We start from the raw sequence: 18711 nt of genomic DNA, 5'->3' as shown, positions 1-18711 counted from the left end.
TTTGGGACTTGTCATCCTCCACAATCATGTGAGCTGTGAACCAATTTTTTTTTTTTCTTTTGGTGAGACAAGGCTTCACTCTGTCACCCAAACTGGAGTACAGCAGTGGCTCTATCATGACTCACTGCAGCCTTCACCTCCTGGGCTCAGGTAATCCTCCTACCTCAGCCTCCTGAGTAGCTGCGACTACAGGCACATGCTACCATGCCCAGCTAATTTTTAAATTTTTTGTAGAGATGGGGTCTCATTATGTTGCCCAGGCTGGTTCTCAAACTCCTGGCTCAAGCAATTCTCCTGCCTCAGTCTCCCAAAGTGCTAGGATCTGTGACCAAATTTCTTAAATCTCAATTGCTCTCAGGATCTCTCTATATACATATATATATGTACACACATATATACATATGTAGTCATGCTTTGCTTAATGATAGGGATATGTTCTGAGAAATGTGTCGTCAAGTAATTGTCATTGTGTAAAAATCACGCAGTGTACTTACACAAAACTAGATTATTTATATATTTTTTCATATGGAAAACCAAATGTCTCAGCACCATTACTATCAATCATCTCCCCTACTAGTCCTGCAACGCCAATATCAAGTGCCATTAGCAGGTTTTTTTGTATATGTTCCATTATAGTCATATGGGACCATCATCGTATATGCAATCCACTGGTTACTGAAACGTTATTATTCAGTGCATGACTGTACACACACACATACACACACGTATGTAGATATATGTCTGTATGTGTGTGCATATATATCCTCTCAGTTCTGTTTCTCTGTAGAACCCTGACTAATATGCCGATGTTTCAAGTTTGGGGGCAGCCATGGTTTCTCCACAACTAAATGGCTACAATAAATACAATGTTCGTAACAATGTAAAGGGCAGAAAAGCCTGCCTTGGGGGAGGAAGGAGCAATGACAGGCCAGTTAACATAGACACAGTGGGTCTAAACATATATTGTGTTTGTTTTCAAGGAAAGTGTATCTCATGAAAAGATAAACTTCTTCAGCCAGGTGGCCTCTTGTTGGATGTGTGTTTCCTAGTGGCAATCTCCCTGTCTGCCTGTGACTACTTATTGGCAAGATGCTTTCTAGGGAATGCATGTCCACACTCCCATGGAGGCAGATGAAGAAGAGCTAGAGAAGTGACCTGTGTCCTTCCTGTACCCATGATTTTTCCCCAGGGAAATTCTCCGTGTTTGTTTCACCAAAACCTCAAGTTGACCGACCCTGAGATGGAGCACTCTCTAGACTGCCCTACCACCTTCTATGGCTGGGCTCTCTGCTTTGCCCACAAGTTGTCAGCAGCCTCAGGTGGGCTGGTTACACACACACACACACACACACACACACCACTCACCTTAATCTGCTCAACACAACTCCAAATACCACACATGCCCTGATATGAAGTGACTCCCAAAGATAAGTTGGTACCCCTTTTCCTAGTGTAGATCCCTTGATTTCAAAGAAAATATATTTGAGTCATTTTAATATTCTGCTTTTTTAGCCAGGCATGGTGGCTCACACCTGTAATCCCAACACTTTAGGAGACCGAGGAGGGTTGATAACTTGAGCCCAGGAGGTTGAGGCTGCCATGAGCTGTGTTCGCACCACTGCACTCCAGCCTGGGTGACAGAGCAAGACTCTGATTCAAAACAAAAACAAAAACAAATACAAACAAAAAACCCTGTATTTATGTTCATTTTATTTTGGCTTGACTGTTGCAAATGATGAAAGCTCAAGTACGGGCCAGGCACAGTGGCTCATGCCTGTAATCCCAGCACTTTGGGAGGCTGAGGCAGGTGGATCACTTGAGGTCAGGAGTTCAAGACCAGCCTGGCCAACATGGCGAAACCCAGTCTACTAAAAATACAAAAATTAGCCGGGCATGGTGGCACACGCCTGTAATCCCAGCTACTCAGGAGGCTGAGGCAGGAGAATCACTTGACCCAGGAGGCGGACGTTGCACTGAGCCGAGATCATGTCACCGCACTCCAGCCTGGATGACAGAGCGAGACTGTCTCAACAACAAAAAAAGCTCAAGCAAGAAACGAGAATGAAGGTATGGAAGCAATGATTCAAGATGACAATATATATTATTAAAATACTTCTTGACATGCACTTTCTATAAAATTGGGGCGAATTAAAGACTTCTCCATTAGATCAAAAGGCTATTCCAAATACAGGTGATCCTCTACTATCCCAATTAGGTGACAGCTGAAAACGTTTTGGGGGCAATTTGATTAGATAAATGTGAATGAAAGAATCTATATTATTAGATGCAAATATCCCATTTACAATATTAAAATATGATACACTTAAGATCTAAGGTATTAAGAGTAACGCATATACACTTGTATATTATATACATGAATATGTAAACATTATATAAATTAATGCTAACTTAGAAAGATTTCTGGTTTCTTCCCAACTCTCGCTCTCACACTTTAAGAAAACATTTATTTAAAGTCTACAGTGGCATTGGCATTTTTACACCACTTCCTGTGATTACAGCTACATTTTGAGTTTTCCAGAACATATCTTCTTCACTTTGATCTAAGTTATTTGAATAAGGTTCTTAACTTGTTCCTTTTTTTTTTTTTTTTTGAGACAGAGTCTCGATCTGTCGCATAGGCTGGAGTGCAGTGGTGTGATTTCCACTCACTGCAACCTCCACCTCCTGGGTTCAAGCAATTCTCCTGCCTCAGCCTCCTGAGTAGCTGGGATTACAGGTGCCCACCACCATGCCCGGCTAATTTTTGTATTTTTAGTAGAAATGGGGGTTTCACCATGTTGGCCAGGCTGGTCTCGAACTCCTGACCTCAGGTGATCCACCCACCTCGCCCTCCCAAAGTGCTGGGATTATACGCGTGAGCCACCACGCCTGGCCAACTTGTTCCATTTTTAAATGATCTTTAAAAAAGACTTGTTTACAAAGAAACCTGACACTTGCTACTGTGAGGTCAGATGCTCTGGGATATTACTAGATTTTTTAAACCACCCTCTTCCTTTTTAAAAATATGATTTCCTTAGCTGACCTCTAAAGCATCCAAACCAGCACTGACTGAGGTCATTTCAAGGTAATGTGTGTTCTCTAAATAATACTTCATTCAAAACAAAATAATTGCAAGACGCTCCCACAGTGTGAGAAAATTTATAGAGACTTAAATATAAGGCAACTGTCTCATTTCTGATAACTTTTTGCAGGGGCCGGGGTGGACTCTACACCTTATATGTGGGCATATGTGGTAAGCTATATAACTTATTTTCCACATTTTCTCTCAAATGCCCTTTTCCCTCAGCAGGTGACTCAGACGGTATGGTACTAAGTCCTGAGTAGAATTCCCCAAGCTAGAGCTAGGGAACTCCGGAGGAATCCAAAGTGTTGGGTCCCAAGAACACAGAAACAGGTGCCTCTCCCACAGGACAGCATGGCCAACATGATGAGGTCAGCTGGCAGGGTCAGTGGCTTTCTGTCTTCCCTTTCTCTTCTTTTTTAAAAAATAATTTGCACACTTGTGGTATGATGCCTTTAAGGGTGGTGGGAGAGTATCGCCGGAGAGGCTCCTGAGCAGCTGTGAGGGCACGAATCCTCCCAGACGCCATCACCACCTTCTACAGGGGGTCAGACCCACCCCTCTCTCTGCCCTCAGATGCCCGAGCCGACAGCAGGAATTAAGACTGTGAGCTCGGCTGCAGCACTGCTAGAAGGCACTGCCAATAGCAATAAGAGCCAGAGAGGGCTGTAAGAGACGGAGAATTTTCTGGAACATCCTGAAGAAAGGCGTAATACCTTGGGATCTTCAAGGGAGTCCCCGTCACTACCTATTTCAGTGACTGAAGTGGAAAGGACAATGGACAATATTCCAAGCTATAAAAGGTGCTCATCGCAGTCAATACATTTCTTTTTTCTTTTGTTTTTTTTTTCTTTTGAGACAGAGTCTCGCTCTGTCGCCCAGGCTGGAGTGCAGTGGCGTGATCTTGGCTCACTGCAACCTCCGCCTCCCAGGTTCACGGCCATTCTCCTGCCTCAGCCTCCCAAGTAGCTGGGACTACAGGCGCCCGCCACCACGCCCGGCTAATTTTTGTATGCAGCCAATACATTTCTGTTCCAAGGGGTGGGGGAGGCAGAAAAAAAGAGATGGACTGTGCTGATGAACACACGTCACAGGGACAGTGAGTCAGGAAGAAGAGGAAGCCCAAGCGGTGAGGGCTGAGGAGCGTGGCTGGAATTTACCTACAGACAGCACAGGTTCCTCCCGCACAGCTGACCAAGTCCAGCCTCTCACCAGTAGAAGTAAATGGATTTGTCCTGAAGGAAGATACAGACAAAGCATGTCTGGAACTTTGATAGTTACAACATGAAAGATGGGGATTTGCCTCTTTCTCTTTGGGATTTTCTCCATTAAGAAAACTGACCTTTGGCTGGGTATGGTGGCTCATGTCTGTAATCCCAGAACTTTGGGAGGCCGAAGCAGGCAGATCATTTGAGGCCAGGAGTTCAAGACCAGCCTGTGCAACATGGCAAAGCCTCATCTCTGCTAAAAATACAAAAATTAGCCAGGAGTGGTGGCGCACGCCTGTAGTTCCAGCTACTCTGGAGGCTGAGGCAGGAAAATCTGCTTGAACCCGGGAGGCGGTGGTTCCAGTGAGCTGACATCGTGCCACTGCACTCCAGCCTGGGTGAAAGAGCAAGACTCTGTCTCAAAAACAAACAAAAAAACTCACCTTTAACGCAAGCCTCATTTTATGAATGAGCAAAGTAATTCAAGAATGTTAACAATTGGCTCCAAAGTGACAAAACCCATTAGAAAAAGCAGCAGCAGCAAACCCAGAACAAGGGGCCCAGGAGTTAAGTTTTATTAAGGGCATCCACGGTCGGCATAGTAATGAACACTACGCGCAGTCCCTCACCCACTCCATCCTCACCATGAACCTATGAGGGAGTGACAAACTTTATCCTTGCTTTATTGTTGAGAAAAGCAAGACAGGTATGCTAACTAGCTTTTCCCAAACTCACGCGGGACAGCTGCATTTATTTATTTATTTTGAGATGGAGTCTCGCTCTGTCGTCCAGGCTGGAGTGCAGGTGGCGCGATCTTGGCTTACTGCAACCTCCACCTCCCAGGCCCAAGCGATTCTCCTGCCTCAGCCTCCTGAGTAGCTGAGATTAAAGGCACACGCCAGCACACCCAGCTAATTTTTGTAGTTTTAGTAGAGACAGGGTTTCACCATGTTGGCTAGGCTGGCCTTGAACTGCTGACCCTCGTGATCCACCCACCTCAGCCTCCCAAAGTGCTGGGATTACAGGCATGAGCCACCGCGCCCGGCCAACAGCTGCTTTTAGAACAATATTCCTTCACTGAGATGGTTTGTGTGTGGGGTCAGACAGAGGTGACCATGTGACATACCACTTACCTATGCAACACAGGGTATGTCAAGGCCCTTCTGAGCCTCAGGCCCAGATCTGCAAAATGATAACCCTCAGTTATCTAGGTGTGAGATCCCCCAGTTAAAACTCCCAGCACAAATCCTGACAAATAGCAGGCACTCAGTAAAGGTCACCAGCTCCCCCTGCCCTGCTCTGCCCCGCCCCTCCCCGCCCCACCCCACACCTGCTGCCTTCCTTTCCCTAATCTTCCTGAACCTTTGTCTGATAGTTACGGGTAGGGATTTATCAGGACTCTGGCTGACACACATATGTAGAAGAATATAACACGTGGAGGGCGGAACACTCAGTAACTAGGATTCACCTCATCACACACAGACCTCAGCTTGCTCTCAGGCAGTCTAATTTGCTTTGCGTCTCTTCATTAAGGAAAGGCTTTTTCTTGTCCATCTGAATCCAACTTGAAGCTGTAGATTTAGTGGAGCCAAAATATTTTGATTTTGTAGGGAACACCTGATACCCTGGTCCTTGAACTAAATATAGACCCGTGAAGGGCCAAACCAGAAGCAGCACCGATCTCCGTGTAGCAGCAAAGGCCTCCCAGAGAAAGGCTCTGCCAGCAGCCCTCACCTGGCCTGAAGGAAACCACTTCTTCTGCAGATGAGGCTGAGGCTCTGGCTCCAAAAACCACACAACTTTTAACTAACTCACCCAGCCCAACCCCAGCACCTCATATACCCACATAAAATGCTGCTCTGAAGTTTAAAGGTGGAGAGATGCTCCAGAGCAGCAGTGGGCTGGTCTGGATAGCCCCCAACTGTATACACTGGGGCTGCGCTGAAGTCTAGGTTGGAATCTGCTGTCTGCATCCCATTAGGTTTTTTTATGAGCTCAAGAGCATGACTTTCTGGTTTGCATTTGCAGCCAGAGGGAAGCAATAAAGAGCAGCAGAGAAGCTTTTTAAAGGATACCTGGTGGAGGTTAGTTGCACCAGAAAGCACCCAGGAAACGACCAGGTGGTGTAACCAGAGCAAAATGAGGAAAGAACTCCAGGCAGAGTCAAGGCATGGAGGTCTGCTACCATCCACGGCATTTACTGTGCTCCAGACAAAGCCCTGAACCTTTTGGGCTGAACTTCACCTTCGAAGGATGAAGCTGGATTAGACATGCTCTGAGATCCCTTCTAGCTAGAAAATTCTATTATTTCAGTTCCTTAAGGAACCCCTGACTCTGAAAAACATGACAGCTAATTGCTAGCAGTGTGTTGCCTGTAACTGGCACTCAGTAATTGCTTACTGCACGAATGAACTGACACTGATAAGGACACAAATCAAAGTTATGAAAATTCACTAATAGTCACAGATATGATACCCGCATACAGACTAGAATCCAAAACGTTGGGTCCCAAGAACACAGCAACAGAAACAGGTGCCTCTCCCACAGGACAGCATGGCCAACATGAGGTCAGCTGGCAGGGTCAGCAGCTTTCTGTCTTCCCTTTCTCTTCTTTTTTAAAAAATAATTTGCACACTTGTGGTATGATGCCTTTAAGGGTGGTGGGAGAGTATCGTCGGGGAGGCTCCTAAGCAGCTGTGAGGGCACGAATCCTCCCAGACGCCATCACCACCTTCTGCAGGGGGTCATACCCACCCTCTCTCTGCCCTCAGATGCCCGGGCCGACAGCAGGAATTAAGAGTCTGAGCTCAGCTGCAGCACTACTAGAAGGCACTGCCAACAGCACTAACAGGAAACACACACAGGGCTTTGATATGTATGTTATTATTCTACTTCAAGAGTTGCCATCCTGAGGCTGGGTGCGGTGGCTCATGCCTGTAATCCCAACAATTTCAGAGGCCGAGGCAGGCCGACTGCTTGAGTTCAGGAGTTCGAAACAAGCCTGGACAACATGGCAAAACCCCATCTTCATAAAAAAGACAAAAATTAGCCAGGTGTGACGGCCCCCGCCTGCAGTCCCAGCTCGTGAGGCTGAGGTGGGAGAACTGCTTGAGCCAGAGAGGCGGAGGTTGCAGTGAGCTCTCATTGTGCCACTGTACTCCAGCCTGGGCAACAGTGAGACCCTATCTCAAAAAAAAACCAAAATCAAGAACAAAACAAGACAAAAACAAAAACAAGAGTTGCCATCCTGGTAAACCCAGGGGATTAAAAAAAAAAAAAAGGGCAGGTGCGGTGGCTCACGCCTGTAATCCCAGCATTTTGGGAGGGCGAGGCGGGCAGATCACGAGGTCAGGAGATCGAGACCATCCTGGCTAACACGGTGAAACCCAGCCTCTACTAAAAATACAAAAAATTAGCCGGGCGTGGTGGTGGGCGCCTGTAATCTCAGCTACTTGGGAGGCTGAGGCAGGAGAATGGGGCACCCGGGAGGCGGAGCTTGCAGTGAGACGAGATTGCGCCACTGAACTCCAGCCTGGGCCACAGAGCAAGACTCCATCTCAAAAAAAAAAAAAAAAAAAAAAAAAAAAAAGTTGCCAGTAGACACAGATTACAGGCTAACACCTGTAATCCCAGCACTTTGGGAACCTGAGGCAGGAGGATTGTTTGAGCCTAGGAGTTCATGACCAGCCTGGGCAACACAGGGAGACCCCATCTCTACAAAAAAATAAAAATGAGCTGGGTGAGGTGGTGTACACCTGTGGTCCCAACTACTTGGGAGGTTCAGGTGGCAGGATCACTTGGGCCTGAGAGGTCGAGGCTGCAGTGAGCTGTGATGGCGCCACTGCACACCAGCCTGGGACAAAGAGCAAGACCTTGTCTCAAAAAAAGCCAAAAACAAAACAAAACAAAAACAACAACAAAAAAGAGTTGCCAATTGTTGTAACCTCTATGTTAAACAGTGTAAGACATTGGAGGGAGAAGGCTGAATCATTTTCCTCCTCCCCCAGGACTCATAATCTATTGGAAAAGGACAGAATAGACACAAGAATAAGATGACAAATCTCAGCTGGGCGCGATGGTTCACGCCTGTAATCCCAGCACTTTGGGAGGCTGAGGCGGGCGGATCACGAGGTCAGGAGATCGAGACCATCCTGGCTAACAAGGTGAAACCCCGTCTCTACTAAAAATACAAAAATTAGCCAGGCGTGGTGGCGGGCGCCTGTAGTCCCAGCTACTCGGGGGGCTGAGGCAGGAGAACAGCATGAACCCAGGAGGCGGAGCTTGAAGTGAGCCGAGATTACGCCACTGCACACTAGCCTGGGCGACAGAGCGAGACTCCGTCTCAAAAAAAAAAAAAAAAAAAAAAAAAAAGACAAATCTCATACAAGATACAATTCGACTGGGCACTGTGGCTCATGCCTATAATCCCAGCACTTTGGTAGTCTGAGGTGAGATCACCTGAGGTCAGGAGTTTGAGACCAGCCTGGCCAATATGGTGAAACCCTGTGTCTACTAATACAAAAATTAGCCAGGCGTGGTGGTTCATGCCTGTAATCCCAGCTACTCGGGAGGCTGATGCAGGAGAATCACTTGAACCTGGGAGGCAGAGGTTGCAGTGAGCTGAGATTGTGCCATTGCACTCCAGCCTGGGCGACAAGAGCGAAACTCCGTCTCCAAAAAAAAAAAAGGATGCAATTCAAATTCAGATGTAGTAAACGTAACTGGCATTTTAGAGCCAAGCATGACAATTAAGATTATATATGAGAAAGAAATGGACATAGACTATCAGTCAGAGTCCAGCAGGAAACAGAAGGCACACTAAAAAAGGTTTCGCTGGAGACTGTTTTAGGCAGGGACTGTTTACAGAGGTGCAGACCGGAGACAGGCAGAGTGCAGCACCCTGGGGCTAGCAACAACAGAAGGGAAACTGCTAGGACCTCTAGGTCTGAAGAGCATGGGAAGGAAGCAGCATTATCAGACTATGCAGGAGCTGGAGCTAGGAAAGTGCCTCAAGCGCTTAGAAGAAATCAGCCATCGTCAGAAGCCCAGCAAGGTTAGGGGGACTGCTAGGGAGATAAATACCCAGATGCTCTTTCCTCCTCCTCTGATCCCCTGCCAGTGCCTCCCATTGGCTGAACCCAACCAGAAACAGAAAAAGCAAGGAGTCCAGATGCTGCAGTTCACAGACACAATCCTCTTAGTACAGAGGAAGAAAGAGAATGAATTGGGGGCGGGGGAAGAAATGACAACACATACACAACTGTAAGTTACGCTCACATGCATATATATATCTGTTATGTATTTGGGACAAATGTCTTATGACTTTTTTTAAAAAATTATTTGTTCTACAAAAGGTCTTCACCATAGGATTAATCTAAATGGAAACATCAAGGTCTTCTAGCATATCTCAGATGTAAGTTACAAAAACAGAAATTTCTTTATGTGTAAACTTCCACGGAATGCTTATATTGTCTAAGGAATGGTATACTTACAGAGGGACTGACAAGTGAAACTGTTAAGACAACAGCCCACTAACCAGACAAAATTGTCTCTAACAGTTTTCCGTCATCCCCTATCCCCACAAGCTCACCAATTTCCAGAGATAAAACCAACTCCAAACTTTGCACCCTAATGCATTTTTCCACTTACATTTTCTATCAGTTGGCAATTAAAACAAGCATCTCAGAGGTCAGCAGAAAGTCCTAACAAATCGAAGAGACAGGTATATAATCTCTAGATTCAAAAGTGTAATAAGACATGTGAGAAGAAACCACCTGGAAAACCACGCTAGGCAGGCACCACTTCAGGGATGCACATTTCAAGTGGCAATTCCCTGCCAACTAATGCTTAACAGGAACCCCTGGGAAAAGCTACAAAAATATCAGTGCTTCCAAAATGCCATCTACTTTTGTGCTGAGTTCGGCTGCTGGCAATGGCAATCTGGAACTGGGATGATTAGGGCCTCTGAGAAGGTTAGGGGTCAAGAAGATGGAGAAGAAACAGAACAGTCAAAAAAAAGGTCTCATGGCCGGGCGCAGTGGCTCATGGCTGTAAGCCCAGCACTTTGGGAGGTCGAGGCAGGCAGAATCACTTGCAGTCAGGAGTTCGAGACCAGCCTGACCAACATGGTGAAACTCCGTCTCTACTAAAAAATAAAAATCAAAATTGGCTGGGCGCCATGGCTCACGCCTGTAATCCCAGCAGGCGTGGGATTGCCACGCCTTGGGAGGCCGAGGCAGGCAGATCACAAGCTCAGGAGTTTGAGACCAGCCTGGCCAACATGGTGAAACCCTGTCTCTATCAAAAATACAAAAAAATTAGCTGGGCGTAGCGGCGCGTGCCTGTAATCCCAGCTACTTAGGAGGCTGAGGCAGAAGAATCACTGAACCCGGGAGGCAGAGGTTGCAATGAGCCGAGATCAGGCCACTGCACTCCAGCCTGGGCGAAAGAGCAACACTCCATCTTGGAAAAAAAATATAAAAATTAGCTGGGTCTGGTGGCACATGCCTGTAATCCCAGCTACTATGGAGGCTGAGGTAGGAGAATTGCTTGAACCTGGGAGGCAGAGGTTGCAGTGAGCCAAGATTGCACTACTGCACTCCAGCCTGGGGATCAGAGTGAAACTCCTTCTCAAAAAAAAAAAAAAAGAAAAGAAAAGGTGCCATGGTTGTCTCCCAATTAATGACCGCATGTCTCAGATATTCTAGCCCATACTACTTAAATGTCCAGTCCTGGGGATATAGGTGTGCAAATTATGGTCCTTCAACTCAATGGGAAAATATGCTGCCATTAAAATTAATGAGTCTGGGCCTGGCATGGTGGCTCATGCCTGTAATTCCAGCACTTTGGGAGGCCGAGACGGGTGGATCATCTGAGGTCAGGAGTTTGAGACCAGCCTGGCCAACATGGCAAAACCCATCTCTACTAAAAATAAAAAAATTAGCCGGGTGTGGTGGAGCACACCTGTAGTCTCAGCTACTTGGGAGGCTGAGGCAGGAGAATCGTTGGAACCCTGGGGTGGATGTTGGGGTGAGCTGAGATTGTGCCACTGCACTCCAGCCTAGGCAACAGAGCGAGACTCCATCTCAAAAAAAAAAAAAAAAAAAAAACCCAAAAAAAAAACATTGAGTCTATTAACATGAGCAATCCTTGTGTTGTTCATTCACAATAATGTTTGAATACCAATTGTATATCACAGATGGTGTAGGGTGTTCAGGATATAATGATGAACTATATAGTATAAGGCATACATTTATATAGTATAGAACAGGCTTTGAAGGCCTTCCATTCATAAAAATAGAGTACATCATTGCTACTTGAGTCAGACCGGAAAATACAGGAACAAACAGGGTACTTTCTCCTGTATTCTGGTCTTCCTGACACCACCAAGCACTTCCGGAGCTTGTTTCATCTTCAAAACTTCCCAAAGTCTGGGAGGCACAAAGGGTGGAAGACGGAAGAAACCATACCAAGTCTGCAGGCAGACCTTTCAGCCTCCACAGTCCTAGGAGGGAGTGAAAACTAGTGCTTGGCTTTTCACAAGCAGAAGCATGAAGTGTCTTCAGTGCTGTGTCATTTAAAAGCAGTCCTCACTTCAGTGACAGCCCAGGATGTTTGCTCCCTGGGTTCAGCCGGCAATCTCCAAAGCAAGGAACTCCCCCTTTTCCCCAAATGTCTCAATAGTTATTCCTTCCTTTGAAGTTGGAAGAAAGAATAAAATTACTTTCATCTGCCTAGAAAATAGAGTAGAGAGGAATTCTACTTGGAATCAGAATGAGAATCAGAAGAGGAATCGGGCAGCTCAAATCTGAGTGAGCCCACGGTCTGCCTCAACTCTTTTTGGAGATAAGCGATGCATAAATAAATCTCCACCTGTATCACTTTGGCAGCAAATGATATCAAACCCTGACTCAAAGTGGCTTAAACAGGGAGAAAATTAATCATCTCACATGCCAGGAAGTGCAGAGGAAGGGTGGGGCTCTGAGCTGTGCTTCTCTGGGACCTGCTACTTACTCTCTCCTGCACAGTGGCTGCATCCTAAGGCTGGAGACAAGATGCCTATGCCAGTTTACACAGCAACACAGGGAGAAAGCAAAAGGGCCATCTATTTTGCGTCTTTTTCTTGGTAGTGGGCATACCTTCCCTAGAAACTCCACGACAGACTTTCCTTTACTCTTTATTGCTTAGCCTTTGATAGCGAGCTCTTTCCTATGCTTGTCTCTGGGGCATGGAATGGAGATATGTGACCTGAATGGGCTAATCATCTCAGAGAACAATGCTTCCATGTCCACCTGACCACACCACCACGCAATGGGCTGCTACTGAGGGCCAAAGAAGGAAATGGACATATTTCAAAGTTAATGTGCTGTACAGTTATCCACACAGACAGAACCCTGATAAGTCATAGCATCAAATATGTTCAGAAATGCCTTCTGCCCAATACTCCGTACAGAAGCAGCAGCATAATGATCCAATGAAGAAGACGCTACCATGCCAACAGGAATGACCAACAGCCACCATTCTTCAGCGGCTGGTTTTTAATGACTACTGCTGAGATGAAAGTTCGATGTAGCCTACCTGAAATGTGGCCCCGAGTGGGCACCTGCAACAGAAGGAGAAACTGAGAGGAGGGTTCTGGGGCAAAGTTGGGACATCAGGCAGGGAGACTCATTTGCCAGTAAACACAATGGTCTGACATGAGTGAGGGTAAAGGGAGGATTGCTAGCCTCTCAAAGATACAGAGAACAGGAGAAACAATGATTGCAACACAATTTTGGAAGCTGGAATGTAGACAAACTAGTGGTAACTTAGCAGGTGGGAGAAAGTGAAAACCTAGCACAGCAGTGTGGAAAGCCAGTTTGGGATTTATGCCCTAGAGCGCCTCTGGAATTGGGGGCAACATGCACTGAGGCGGAAGGGACCCTAAATCACCTTGGCCCTAGGTACCAAGTGAAGGCTGAAATTCTGCAATCTGTGTGCTCTGCTGTGTCTCGGCAACTCTGGACTCAGTGACACCAGGTATAGCTGAGGCAGGGGCGAAAAAACAGGTGAATAAGACAGTCATCATACCAAATAGTTAGACTTCAAGTCTCCTTCTCATCTGGTTCCCAGAACACTGCAGCCAACCAACTCCCCTCAGTGTAGGGGATTTCTCTTCACCCAGTTTCTCCAGAGAACAAAGACTTTCCACTATCAGGTGTGAATCCTCCAATGAAACCACCAATGAGCTAATCCTACAGCAGAGGTCCTCTGTGCTAGCCGCAGATTTCAATCACCTGAGAGCTTTTAATACTGGCAACTACCCGGGGCCCCAGCAAGAGTGTATGTCATTCAGTTACTCAGCAAATATTACATGTATGGAAAGGTTAGTGTGTGCCAGGCATTGTTCTAGATTCTGAGACATTGTTCTATGCCTCCTTCTTAGTAAGAAGGAACTATTCTTGGGTATATTTCATCTATGTAGACCTTCCAGTTAGCTTTTTAGTGAGTGATCAGTCAAGGATCATCAGACATTTGAAGAAAGCCTTTAATGTGGAAGTGATTAAAAACCAAAAGCAAACAAACAAACAAAAAACTAGCAATCAGAGGAAACAAAGAGTGCAGGGAGTAGAGAAATGCTTCAAAGATAGCTGTAATTGAGATCTACAGAGAATTGAGAAGCTTTTCATCCAAGAAACAGTAACAGGAGGTTATAAAAAGAAAATTTCAGATATTTTTAAGGCTTTCTTGGGAATTACAAATATGATGACAGACATAAAAACTGAACATATGGGTTGGAAGACAAAAATGAGGAAATTTCCCAGGAAGTAGAAATGTTTTTTTTAAAAGGAGATAGAAAGTATAAGAAAAAGGGTAATGTAACCACCCAACAGGTTCATTTTGCCTGCTGCCCAGATAGAGCCAATTTATCAAGACAGGGGAATTGCAATAGAGAAGGTTTAATTGACACAGAGCCAGCCAAGAGAATGGGGGGTTTTATGACTCAAATCAGTCTCTCTGAAAATTTGAAGGCTATGTTTTTTTAAGGATAGTTTGGGGGAGGGAGTGGCTAGGGAATGGGTGCTGCTGATTGGTTGGGGATTCAATCATAGGGGTGTGGAAAATGGTCCTCATGCTGAGTCCACTTCTGGGTGGGGCCACAGGACCACTTGGCAGGTCTAGGTGAAGCCACTAGTTGTCAGAAATGCAAAAACCTTGGCTGGGCTCGGGGGCTCACATCTGTAATCCCAGCACTTTGGGAGGCTGAGGCGGATCACTTCAGGTCAGGAGTTCAAGGCCAGCCTGGGCAACATGGTGAAACCCCGACTCTACTAAAGATACAAAAATTAGCTGGGCAAGGTGATGCATGCCTGTGGTCCCAGCTACTTGGGAGGCTGAGGCACAAGAATCACTTGAACCCGGGAGGCAGAGGTTGCAGTGAGTTGAAATCATGCCACTACACTCCAGCCTGGGCAACAGAGGGAGACTCCATCTCATAAAGAGGAAGGGAGGAAGGGAGGGAGGGAGGGATGAAGGAAGGAAAAGAGAAATGCAAAAACCTGAAAAGACATCTCAAAAGGCCAACCTTAGGTTCTACAATAGTGATGTTATCAAGCTGCAAATCTTATGGCTAATTTGTTAGTCCTACAAAGGCAGTCTGGTCCCCAGGCAATAAGGAGATTTGTTTTGGGAAAGGGCTGTAATCATCTTTGTTTCAAAGTTAAACTATAAACTAAGTTCCTCCCAAAGTTAGTTTGGCCTACACTCAGGAATGAATCAGGACAACCTGGAGGTTAGAAGCAAGATGGAGTCAGATCACATCTCTTTCACTATCATAGCTGTACTAATTTTTGCAAAGGAGGTTTAAGTAAGAAAATTCGAGAGTCAATCCATGCGGGTCTCCTTCCAATTAACTGGGTGTCCCAGAGGAGAAGGAAGGAATTTTTTTGTTTTTAAACTCTAGGAAACTGGCTGGGCACGGTGGCTCATGCCTATAATCCCAGCACTTTGGGAGGCCAAGATGGGCGGATCACCTGAAGTCAGGAGTTCGAGACCAGCCTGGCCAACATGGTGAAACCCCGCCTCTACTAAAAACACACAAAAAAAGGCCAGGTGCGGTGGCTCACACCTGTAATCCTAGCACTGTGGGAGGCCAAGACGGGCAGATCACCTGAGTTCAGGAGTTCGAGACCAGCCTAGCCAACACAGTGAAATCCCGTCTCTACTAAAAATACAAAAATTAGCTGGGTGTGGTGGTGCATGCCTGTAGTCCGAATTACTCGGGGTGTGAGGCAGGAGAATCACTTGAACCCGGGAGACAGGGGTTGCAGTGAGCTGAGATCGCACCACTGCACTCCAGCCTGGGTGACAACGAGACTCCATCTCCAAAATAAATAAATAAAAATAAAAATACACACACACGAAACCAACAAAACTCTAGCAAACTGTTCAGAATGGAAGGGCAGAGTTTCTAGATTGAGAAAGCCCACTGGAAGCCTAGTAAAATGGATGGGAAAAGACTCACACCAAGTCTTACAATGAAACTTCATGACAACAGAGAGAATATTAGAGGATGACGAGGAAATCCTAAGAACTTTCAGGAGGGGATATCCATTCAAAGCATAAGCCTTTAGAATGACACCACACATCTCAATGGCAATTCTGAAATCTAGAAAAGCAATGCTTTCTAACTTCTGAGAGAAAGGGATTTCCAACCTAGAGTTCCTACTCCATGCAACCTATGTCAACCTTGGAGGATCTCAAAAAACTTGCCTCCCATGTCCTCTTTCTCAGGAACTTCTGGAAGGTGTATTTTACCAGCAAAAGAATGTAAAGAAAAAGGAAGACATGGGGTCTAAAACACACGGGATGCTACATGAGAAATCAGCAAAATAAATTCTCATAATAACAGTGAGAGGAGACCCCACAATGATGGATGTGCAACTGGCCTCAAGAGCGGCAAGCGGAGGAGGACAGAGTTCTCATGAGGGAGGGACCCAGTGGGCAGTATGTACTTGCTAACTAGAAATAAGTGCAAAGAGTTGAAAATGGTTGTCTCTGGGGCACAGAAGTGGAAGTTGAGGCTGAGTGTGGTGACTCACGCCTATGATCCCAGCACTTTGGGAGGCTGAGGCAGGAGGTTTGCTGAGGCAGCCCAAGAGTTTGAGACCAGCCAGGGCAACATAACAAGACCACGCCTCTAGAAAAGACAAAGAACTGGAAGTTGGTAAGAGGTAAGGTGAGTGAGTACTGTCCCTAGTTATAAGCCTTGTAGACATATTTGACTTTTTAAAGTTATATATATATATATATATATATATATAGTTTTGATAAGGAGGGAAGCTCACGCTATAAGTCTGATTCCGGAATGAAAATCCAGTAAAATCAGGAAGCACCCACCCTCTGGAGGGCAGAGCAACAAGCACTTGGCCAAACCTCTGGGAAACAGAAGACGATGAAGAAGGCAAAAGGGGAGAGCAGGTAAGCGACCTTGATGTCCCAGGAAACAGTGCAATGGACTCACCATTCTCTTCAACGACACCATCCCTAAGTGTGACAGAGATTAGCAGGAACAGAGGCTCAAGGGAAGCGCTACTACGTGCCAGGTGCGCCGCTGGGAAATTTAGGGACGTGAGGAGGCAGAAAGGCAGTTTGGTGACTTTGCTGCTCTTAGACCATCTTTCCTTCACTCTAGATAAGAGGGAGGCTGGCAATTACACCCAGCAATGCAGGCTCAGAGAGGGTGAGGGCCCAGATAAGCCTTAAATTCACTTCGATTCCGAACCCCATCACTTTCCCTTTCTTGTTTCTTTTGTTTGTGGCCCGCTCTGAGAACTCTTTTTCTTCCTTAAGACCTGACACAGGCCTCTTTCCCCAGAGGCCATCCTGTCTGTGAGTCCTGCAGCTGCACCCAGGGGCCTTGGGTTTGACTGAAGATCCTGGATTAACTGTGGGTGGGTCCCGTATCCTCTCAACTCCATTAACATCTCAGCAAAAGGAGCCACGGAGGCCTACAGGTTAGCATTCAATGGCCAGATTAGCAGCTGGGGACGAGATGAGGCCCTTGCAATTCACCTGCAAAGTTGAATTGAGAGTTACAAAACAGTGTAAGAGTGCAAACTCTGAAAATATTATTTTGTATGTATTTAAAGATATGTCTATATTATTTAGAGTTTATTATATCCCCTTATGATACCAAACTCAGCCTGGCCTATTTCTATGAAAAGCATTTGTTTACTGTTTACATTCACAGTCTTTTTCTCCCAGACATGGTTCCCAGGATGACAGCTGTAGTTACCGCCTTCTTTCCCTCCATCTCATGAGACAAGACTGACTTCATTTCACTTCTGGTGTTTATCAACTACCTAGTAGAGAGGAGCTACAGGACAGAAAATGCCATTCTCTTTCCAAACATCCTGCATCTTTAAATATCTTTGATTTGTGGATCCTATGATCAAAACATTTTGGGAATCAGTGGTGGGGCTGTTGTCCAAGCAGGCTGTTTAGTAATTTGGGGGCAAAGATCTGTCTCCAAATGCCATCACGACTTCTTGTGAAATCATCCACAGTTCCCGCGGGTAGAGAAAGCAGCTTTGCTCCGTCTCAGTCATTCTGCTGCTAGCGAGGGATGGGGGACAGTATGACAGATTTCCCGGGCTGCTGCCATGCCCCCCGCCCCTACCGGGGCTTCAACGGCACAGGCCCCAAGGTTCTGAAACCGCCGTGGCTCCGGAACCCCCTATTACCTGTCCCCTCTGGGCACCCCTTCCCTGCCCGTCACACACAGCCGGGGCGCCTCCTTCCGTCCAGCCATTGACAAACCAGCTCCAAGTCACTTACTCCTCCCGAGGAACACAAACCGTCTCTCAACACGCAAATCCCCCACTTTAAAAACAACACACCCCAGTGATCCGGGAGACGAGAAGGGCAGACGCTTAGGTGGCCGCTCCGCGCCTCCGAGGCTGTGGCTAAATCTCCACATTTGTGGATTCAGCCCCAGTCTGCACCCGACCTGGATCAGATCAGAAAACCTGAGGCTTTCGCCTGAGAAGCCGATTTCCTACCTCCAGTTCTGAAGTCACCTTCGGAGGGTTCCTCTCCGGAGCTCCTGGGAGTCTCCGCCGGCAGCAGCTGGGCGCCGGGTAATCCGCTCGCCAGGCCGGTCTCCGCGCCCCCGGGGCAGCTCATTAGCCTAATCACCTGCAGGCGGCCCGGGGGCCTGGGGCGGCTGCCAGCTGCCCTCCTGGAACGCGGCTCCTGCAGGACTTCCCGAAGGCTGCTCTCCGCCGGCTCCAGGTCTGTGGGAGGACCCCCCCCTCCTCCCTCCGCGCCGCGGTGGAGGAGGTTAGGAAAAGCCTGTAATGCAATCCTAAACTCGGCTCGCCACTCCCCTGCTCACTTGTCAAAACCCCACGGCATTCCAAGATCCCCTCCCCGGTCACT

General features: G+C 46.8%; 1 protein-coding gene and 1 long non-coding RNA gene across 8 annotated transcripts in view; both read right to left on the bottom strand.

The window, feature by feature from the left end:
• Positions 1 to 18711, bottom strand: part of PDZD2 (PDZ domain containing 2) — a 471802-nt gene that overhangs the window by 237432 nt on the left and 215659 nt on the right. The window lies entirely within an intron of this gene.
• On the bottom strand, positions 11526 to 18645 carry LOC124900953 (uncharacterized). Of its 2 annotated transcripts, none has more exons than XR_007058717.1 (2): positions 18333 to 18645; positions 11526 to 17343 (listed from the first exon to the last, which is right to left on the bottom strand). It is a non-coding gene; the product is annotated as an uncharacterized LOC124900953 (long non-coding RNA). The 2 variants fall into 2 exon arrangements; XR_007058718.1 differs by having other exon boundaries at positions 17514 to 18412.

This window comes from Homo sapiens, chromosome 5 (genome assembly GCF_000001405.40).
Source record: "Homo sapiens chromosome 5, GRCh38.p14 Primary Assembly".
Taxonomy (NCBI): Eukaryota; Metazoa; Chordata; class Mammalia; order Primates; family Hominidae; genus Homo; species Homo sapiens.
Note: the sequence above shows the minus strand (reverse complement) of the source record. Positions and strands in the feature narration are given on the sequence as shown.